The 7,127-nt window shown below is 43.9% G+C and overlaps 1 long non-coding RNA gene and 1 pseudogene across 2 annotated transcripts in view, besides 8 other annotated features; one reads left to right on the plus strand and one right to left on the minus strand.

Annotated features, from left to right (window-relative positions):
* The window catches only part of TTC41P (tetratricopeptide repeat domain 41, pseudogene), an 86,463-nt pseudogene extending 79,422 nt beyond the window's left edge, over positions 1–7,041 (minus strand). Inside the window, exon 1 of the transcript NR_027249.1 lies at positions 6,712–7,041. The product of NR_027249.1 is annotated as a tetratricopeptide repeat domain 41, pseudogene (transcript). The remainder of the gene's footprint in view (positions 1–6,711) is intronic.
* Positions 1,218–1,287: an enhancer, noted in NCBI's record as "active region_6897". NCBI's record gives its function as "activates an Ori minimal core promoter by ATAC-STARR-seq in GM12878 lymphoblastoid cells {active_cell/tissue: GM12878}" and the evidence as "EXISTENCE:reporter gene assay evidence [ECO:0000049][PMID:35858748]".
* Positions 1,936–1,995: an enhancer, noted in NCBI's record as "active region_6898". NCBI's record gives its function as "activates an Ori minimal core promoter by ATAC-STARR-seq in GM12878 lymphoblastoid cells {active_cell/tissue: GM12878}" and the evidence as "EXISTENCE:reporter gene assay evidence [ECO:0000049][PMID:35858748]".
* LOC124903001 (uncharacterized) lies at positions 2,303–3,121 on the plus strand. The gene is made up of 2 exons (XR_007063430.1): positions 2,303–2,568; positions 2,903–3,121. It is a non-coding gene; the product is annotated as an uncharacterized LOC124903001 (long non-coding RNA).
* Positions 2,446–2,495: an enhancer, noted in NCBI's record as "active region_6899". NCBI's record gives its function as "activates an Ori minimal core promoter by ATAC-STARR-seq in GM12878 lymphoblastoid cells {active_cell/tissue: GM12878}" and the evidence as "EXISTENCE:reporter gene assay evidence [ECO:0000049][PMID:35858748]".
* Positions 2,536–2,595: an enhancer, noted in NCBI's record as "active region_6900". NCBI's record gives its function as "activates an Ori minimal core promoter by ATAC-STARR-seq in GM12878 lymphoblastoid cells {active_cell/tissue: GM12878}" and the evidence as "EXISTENCE:reporter gene assay evidence [ECO:0000049][PMID:35858748]".
* Positions 4,073–4,242: an enhancer, noted in NCBI's record as "experimental_23563 CRE fragment used in MPRA reporter constructs". NCBI's record gives its function as "activates a minimal promoter by MPRAs in K562 erythroleukemia cells, with activity observed for both the introgressed and non-introgressed 12:104321106 variant alleles {active_cell/tissue: K562}" and the evidence as "EXISTENCE:reporter gene assay evidence [ECO:0000049][PMID:34662402]".
* Positions 4,987–5,169: a silencer, noted in NCBI's record as "fragment chr12:104321935-104322117 (GRCh37/hg19 assembly coordinates)". NCBI's record gives its function as "represses an EF-1alpha promoter that drives an FKBP-Casp9 reporter gene in an ReSE screen in K562 erythroleukemia cells {active_cell/tissue: K562}" and the evidence as "EXISTENCE:reporter gene assay evidence [ECO:0000049][PMID:32094911]".
* Positions 6,436–6,655: an enhancer, noted in NCBI's record as "active region_6901". NCBI's record gives its function as "activates an Ori minimal core promoter by ATAC-STARR-seq in GM12878 lymphoblastoid cells {active_cell/tissue: GM12878}" and the evidence as "EXISTENCE:reporter gene assay evidence [ECO:0000049][PMID:35858748]".
* Positions 6,706–6,965: an enhancer, noted in NCBI's record as "active region_6902". NCBI's record gives its function as "activates an Ori minimal core promoter by ATAC-STARR-seq in GM12878 lymphoblastoid cells {active_cell/tissue: GM12878}" and the evidence as "EXISTENCE:reporter gene assay evidence [ECO:0000049][PMID:35858748]".

Consider the following 7,127-nt stretch of genomic DNA (forward strand, 5'->3'; position numbering starts at 1 on the left):
CACCCGCCACCACGGCTGGCAAATTTTTTTATTTTATTTTTTTAGTAGAGACAGGGTTTCGTCATGTTGGCCAGGCCGGTCTCAAACTCCTGACCTCAGGTGACCCGCCTCAGCCTCCCAAAGTGCTGGGATTACAGGTGTGAGCCACCGTGCCCAGCCATGTTTACCTTTGAACTTGTATTTTTCTGTGCCAATTAATTTTTAATCATGAAACTCTATTAGTTTTATAATTTAAAACCAAAAGCAGGAATTGTGGAATTCCATAATTTCTAAGATTCCTTCCAGTGCTAAAATTCCAGTAAGTCCTTAATATAAATTATTATCAACATGGCTGATTTGATCACTCAAAATACTGAATTTATTTACCAAATTTTTAAATTTAACAAATCCCTGTTTGAAATTCAGTTCTTCTTGCGCTCTGCTAGGATCCAGAATTGACAGGGGATAACTGGATACATATTTTTAAATTGATCTGTTTTTGTAAGGCAGACTCTAGGGAGATGTTTATTTCCTATTAAGGAAATGAAATGTAAGCTACAAGACTATGAATGAATTTAATTTATGACAGGTTGAAACTTTCTGATTGTATGTAAGAGAGTCAGAGTACCCAGGGGTTTTTATTAGCAGATGCAAGTAACCATTTTATAAATTCAAAGTCAGTTCTCAAGGAGGGTAATATGGTGTGAGCTGGGGTAACAGGGTCTGGGGAAAAGATCACAAGTAACTCAAAATTGCAGTTAAAACTTTTCAAAAAGAGAACATAATGTAAATATAGTTGTAATTACATCTAATATTTAGAAACACACTTATTGCTCTATAGCCAAAAATAATACAAGTTCCATAGTTTGGAAATATTGAACATCATATAAATTGCTTGATGAGAAACAACCAAAAGGATAATATGAGAAAATAATTATGGTTGCTTAACATCTTAGGTGAAATCTGGTGTTTTGGAAACATGACAATGGGACCAAGGACTTCAACATCTACTATGCAAATCTACATCTACGCCTACATTCAACTACGACAGACAATTTCAAGCAGAACGGCCCTCCCCGCAGAACCACTAGAGAAGCTGAAGGAGATACCTGAGAAACTATTTAAAGACATCAGATAGATACCCAGCAACCAGGATTTCAAGAGGCAAGATTCCAGAGAGAAGGGAAGCTTTGAGAAGTGAACCCTACCTTCTCCTGTTGCCTTTCCCCCTTAAAGTGTTTGCTAATTCTTATGCCACTCAGAACCAATATTCTTAGAAGGCACAATGCTGAGAAGCTCAGCAAAGCTCAGAGGCTACATGGTGCTTGCTAGTGCTAGACAGACAAAAATTGGAGCTCAGAGCCTGTCCAGGAGGAAGAGGCGTGGGAAACACCCTAGGCTGTTAAATTGTCTGGATACTCATTCTTGGTTAAAAAAGTCTCTCCCATCCCTGCCTTGTATACTCACAGGCTCTCTTAGTTTCTTATAAGCAAGAATTTATTTTTTATATGGTGCAAGATAGGAGTTTAACTTTATTTTGCTTGAGATGGATAACCAGTCAAGGCTAGTATCATTTATGATATTAACTATCCTTTCCCCTCTGAACTGAAATATCACTTTTTGTCTTATCTTAAATTGAAACAATCTATTTTTGGATTATTTGGTTGCACTGATTTTTTTTTTCTTTTTTCTTTTTTCTTTTGTCGTTTTTTTGAAGTGGAGTCTTGCTCTGTTGCCCAGGCTGGAGTGCAGTGGCACAATCTCCACTCACCGCAACCTCCACCTCCCAGATTCAAGAGATTCTCCCGCCTCAGCCTCCCCAGTAGCTGGAATTACAGGTGCACACCACCACGCCTGGCTAATTCTTGTATTTTTAGTAGAGATGGGGTTTCACCACGCTGACCAGACTGGTCTTGAACTCCCAACCTCAAGTGATCCACCCACCTCAGCCTCCCAAAATGCTGGGATTACAGGTGTTGAGCCACCATGCCCGACTGGTTGCACTGATCTGTTTGTATATTCAAATATGTAGAGGACACATCATTCTTTTTCACTTCGCAGCATCTGAATCTCATTGTTACATGAGGAAAACCCCCACCTTATGATTCTGAGCCTCCCATGAGAGAAGCTGAAAATGCCATGTAAATCCTTTCCCAGCTTGCCTTGCAACTAAGGTATAATAAGTAGCCTCCAAACAGGCCCCAGTGCTCTCTGGCTGCTGGTATTTACAGCCTCATATAATCTCATTGAGTAGGGTTGTTTCCGAAATGATGGTGTGTGATTTCTGAGGTTGGTTATGAGTCATTGTGCCTCCTGCTTTGTTCTCTGTCTTGGATCACTCACTCCAGGGGAGGCCAGCTGCCATGCTGTGAGCACACTTAAGCAGCCCTATGGAGAGGTCCATGTGATGATGAACTGAGGCCCCAGCCAACAGCCATGTGAAGGAGCCATCGTGGAAGCAGATCCTCCAGCTCCTCTTGAGCCTCCAGATGATTTCAGCCTCAGCCAACATCTTGACTGCAAGCTCATGAGAGACCCGAGCCAGAACTACCCAGTTAGGTGCTTCTGGATTCCTGACCTACAGATACTGTATGAGAGAATAAATGTTTACTATTTTAAGCTGCTAAATTTAGGGGTAGTTTGTTATACAACAATAGATAATATAAGGGTTATGGGACCTGACCCAAGTTCTTCATTTGTTTTATATTCCTCAATATTTTATAGTTTTCTTCATGTTGCAACTATGTCTTTCTTAAGTTTATTTCTAAGTATTTTATGGTTTTTGTCTCTGAGTGACACTTTTTAAAATTTTCACTTCGATGTGTTTTTTAAAAGATTAGAGCAAAACTAGTGATTTTTATATATTTATCTGATAGCCAATAATTTACCAGATTCTCATATTATTCTATACTTTTTTTTTAAGGGGCTGGGCAGTGGCTCAACTCGAGGCAGATCACCCACCCACTTCCAAGATCCAACTATAAGCTTTTTAACTGCAGCAACTTAAGTATACGCTACTAGAACTGGAATTAATCATTCTATACTTAAAACAAAAAACCCTAGGGTCTCCTGGATTTCTGGGACATGCAATTGTCATCAGTAAGAAGGAATTTCAAAATAAAGGACTCCACCTTTTCTAAAATTTATGCCAATTACTTGATTTCCTTGTCTTGTTAAATCCTCCTAAATTGTGTGGGACATTACTAACCACAGCAAGCATCTGTGTCTGGTTCTTGATTTTTAGTGAAATGGCTTTTAGTGTTTTGTTGTTTAGAATGATAGTTGCTGTTAGTTTTCTTTAGTTGAGGTATACATAATAAAATTTAACCTTTTAAAGTGTACAGTTTGATGAGTTTTAACAACTACTGATATCAAGATCAAGAGCATTTCTGTCACCCCAAAAAGTTCCCTGGTACTCCTTTGCAGACATTCTTTTATATCTTTACTTCAGTTTAAATAAGATACTTGCACTTATGCTGTAACTCCATTGTTAATATTTGCACAAGGCTGGGCACAGGGGCTCACGCCTGTCATCCCAGCACTTTGGGAGGCGGAGGCAGGCTTGAGCCCAGGAGTTTGAGAACAGCCTGGACAACATAGGGAGACCCCATCTTTACAAAAGAAAAAAACCTCAACTTTGTTCATAATAAGCTCAAAGTATCCCTTTTTTTTTTCTTTTTTTTTTTTCTGAGACCGAGTCTCGCTGTCACCCAGGCTGGAGTGCAGTGGTGTGATCTCGGTTCACTGCAACTTCCACCTCCAGAGTTCAAGTGATTCTCCTGCCTCAGCCTCCTGTGCAGCTGGAATTACAGGTGCTTACCACCACACCTGGCTAACTTTTGTATTTTTTAAGTAGAGATGGTGTTTCACCATGTTGGCCAAGCTGGTCTCAAACTCCTGACCTCAAGTGATCAGCCCACCTCGGTCTCCCAAAGTGCTGGGATTACATGCCACTGTGCCAGGCCTACAAAAAAAAGTTTTAAGTTAGCCAGATGTTGGTGGCACATGCCTGCGGTCCAGCTACTCAAGAGGCTGAGATGGGAGGACTGCTTGAGCCCAGAAGGTCGGGCCTACAGTAAGCCATGATCCTGCCACTGCATTCCAGCCTGGGTAACAGAGCAAGACCCTGGCTCAAAAAAATATATTTTTAAAATTTAAATTTAAAAATTAAAAAAAACACATTTGCACAAGTTCTATATAAACAGAAACCATATCTATATTACTCACCCCTGTATTTCTAGCACCTAGCATAATTCCTGGCACATACTAGGCCCTCAACATTTGCTGAAATGATGAGTTAATTAATGAATAAACCAATCAACCAACCAACCAATTCACCTTGGAGCTTGGCTCTATTCCTTAATGTTCCCTGATGCCAATTGCTTTCTTGCCTTGGTCTCCCCAGTCTGCCTTCCCCCTGACTCCCCACTGCTGGACTACACCTGCCTACTAGAGAGCTATCCAGTGCCCTTAACTGCATTCCTTTACCTATTGGTTTTTCCTTCCGAGTTTAACTACAAAGTGGGGTGCTATCTAGTGGGGTTAGCTTTGCTCAAGGAGAAGCTTAACAACAACAACAACAACAGTAGCTGTTTCCAGCAATACATAGAGAAAAGCTAAAATTAGGACAAGGGAATCCGATACAAAGGCAGGAAACTTAATAACTATCTGGAGTGTTAGTTCTGGAGGAGCTAGGCCAAGATGGGAACTAGGTCAAAAGTCAGAAGAGGTGAAGAGACCACAGCGAGAAACAACAAAGCTGGGAATTAACTAAGCGGCCTATTCTCTTTACAAGGTACTCAGCCGGAGAGCCAATCTTTTTTTTTTTTTTTTTGAGATGGAATTTTTGCTCTTGTTACCCAGGCTGGAGTGCAGTGGCGTGATCTGGGCTCACTGCAACCGCCGCCTCCTGGGTTCAAGCGATTCTCCAGCCTCAGCCTCCAGAGTAGCTGGGATTACCGGCATGCGGCACCACGCCCAGCTAATTTTTGTGTTTTTAGTAGAGACGGGGTTTCGCCATGTTGGCCAGGCTGGTATTGAACCCCTGACCTCAGGTGATCCGCCCACCTCAGCCTCCCAAAGTGCTGGGATTACAGGCATGAGCCACCGCTCCCAGCCCAGAGAGCCAATCTTCAAGGGACAGAGTTGATCAGACAACGGCCCGCCATCTTATGCCAGCCTACCATCTTGTGCTCTGTCTGCCTCATGAATTCCCATCATCATCTGCAGAAACGTCTACCCACAAGCAGTGGCTCTGTTTTGAAGGATATGTCTCTGTCTCAGTTCTCTCCAGGTGCAGCACCAACTCCCCACCACTCACTAGTTAAGGTGGCATTTGCAGTTTCAGAACTGGTTGCTTACTTATTCAGAATTGGAGGAAAAGGTCAAGAAGTTGAGCTGTGAAATGCAGAAAAAAAAGTGAAGAAACTCAGTTTTCTCTCAAAACAAAAAATAAAGGAGTTAAAATATACAAAAATGCAACTGAAATCTCTGAATGTAATTCACACTCTAGTATGCTCTTTTAAAAAAAGATGAAAGCACAGAAGCATACATAAAGCATTCTTTGTAAGCTACTCTTTGCTTACTAATAACAAATGTAGGTAAATTGGGCAGATGTAAATAAGGCACCACCACAACACGTGAGCGCCAACCACAGAGCCAAGATCCGCACACTAAATACGGGAAGTTGTAAAAGACTGTGACAGACTGTCACTAAAAAACTTGTCTTCAGGAATTCGGACGATTATCTGAAAAGATATTCAAAGTTCAATTTTGTTGGAGGAAGCAATAAGGAAGTGGGGTGTCTATGTCAGAGACGGGCGCGGGTATGCGAGGGGGTAACGTATAGAGTAGGTTAAAGAGACGTAGAAAATATTTCCAAAGGCACAAGTTTAGCATGAGGGACTTCCCTCACAGGAAAGACACCTGGTGTTTTATATGTCCTTCTGAGCACAGACAGGGTATTTCTATGAAGTTACAAAGCTGCAATCCCGTTCTCATGTGCAGCACCACAGGTTTTGCTTTCAAATATCTGCAGGTGCATCCTCCTGCACTCGTTAAACTAAGGGTTTTCCTTTTCTGTGCTAGACCCGCTTTTACGACCACGCTCTCCACCTGATTCACAGAAAGGGTTCTACGACCGTCAGGTCACCGCCGCCTTTGTACTTTATTGGGGAGTCGAAGGCCTCAGCGCTGCTCGCGATTTCCCTAAGGTGGTCGGGAAGGTCCCAACCACGTTCTTCTGTAAACCAGATAAGGAAGGCCTGGGGATTCCGGCCGCGGAAAGGCACAGAGGAGGTGAACGCTCCGGCTGCCCAAGTGACGCACTTGTAGGCGGATTCGGAAACTCGTGCTCTTGAGCCGGAGGCGGAGCCCCCAGACTCAGACCGACCCCCCAGAACCGGGCGGCCTTGCCCGAGGCATGAAGGCTTTCTAGGCCCGCTTCTAAAAGCTGTGTACAATGGAGACTCCTGGAATAGGCACATATCTCTACTGTAATCAGAACGAGATGTAACATCTAAGACGCAGGGCAGGGCTCTGGCAAAGACACGCTGGGGGAACGTGAAAGAAAGGGCCAAAACTACGCAGCTGGTCCTCAGAGACCAAAGACTACGACCCCCAGCATTCAATGCAGTGAACCCCTAGGACGTTGCATGCCGGGAGCTGTAGTTTCTCACCACCGCCACCCCCCCGCCCCCCCGCCATCTGAAAGGGTTCTAGGGGATTTGCAACCTCTCTCGTGTGTTTCTTCTTTCCGAGAAGCGCCGCCACACGAGAAAGCTGGCCGCGAAAGTCGTGCTGGAATCACTTCCAACGAAACCCCAGGCATAGATGGGAAAGGGTGAAGAACACGTTGCCATGGCTACCGTTTCCCCGGTCACGGAATAAACGCTCTCTAGGATCCGGAAGTAGTTCCGCCGCGACCTCTCTAAAAGGATGGATGTGTTCTCTGCTTACATTCATTGGACGTTTTCCCTTAGAGGCCAAGGCCGCCCAGGCAAAGGGGCGGTCCCACGTGTGAGGGGCCCGCGGAGCCATTTGATTGGAGAAAAGCTGCAAACCCTGACCAATCGGAAGGAGCCACGCTTCGGGCATCGGTCACCGCACCTGGACAGCTCCGATTGGTGGACTTCCGCCCCCCCTCACGA

Source organism: Homo sapiens, chromosome 12 (genome assembly GCF_000001405.40).
Source record: "Homo sapiens chromosome 12, GRCh38.p14 Primary Assembly".
In the NCBI taxonomy this organism is placed as follows: domain Eukaryota; kingdom Metazoa; phylum Chordata; class Mammalia; order Primates; family Hominidae; genus Homo; species Homo sapiens.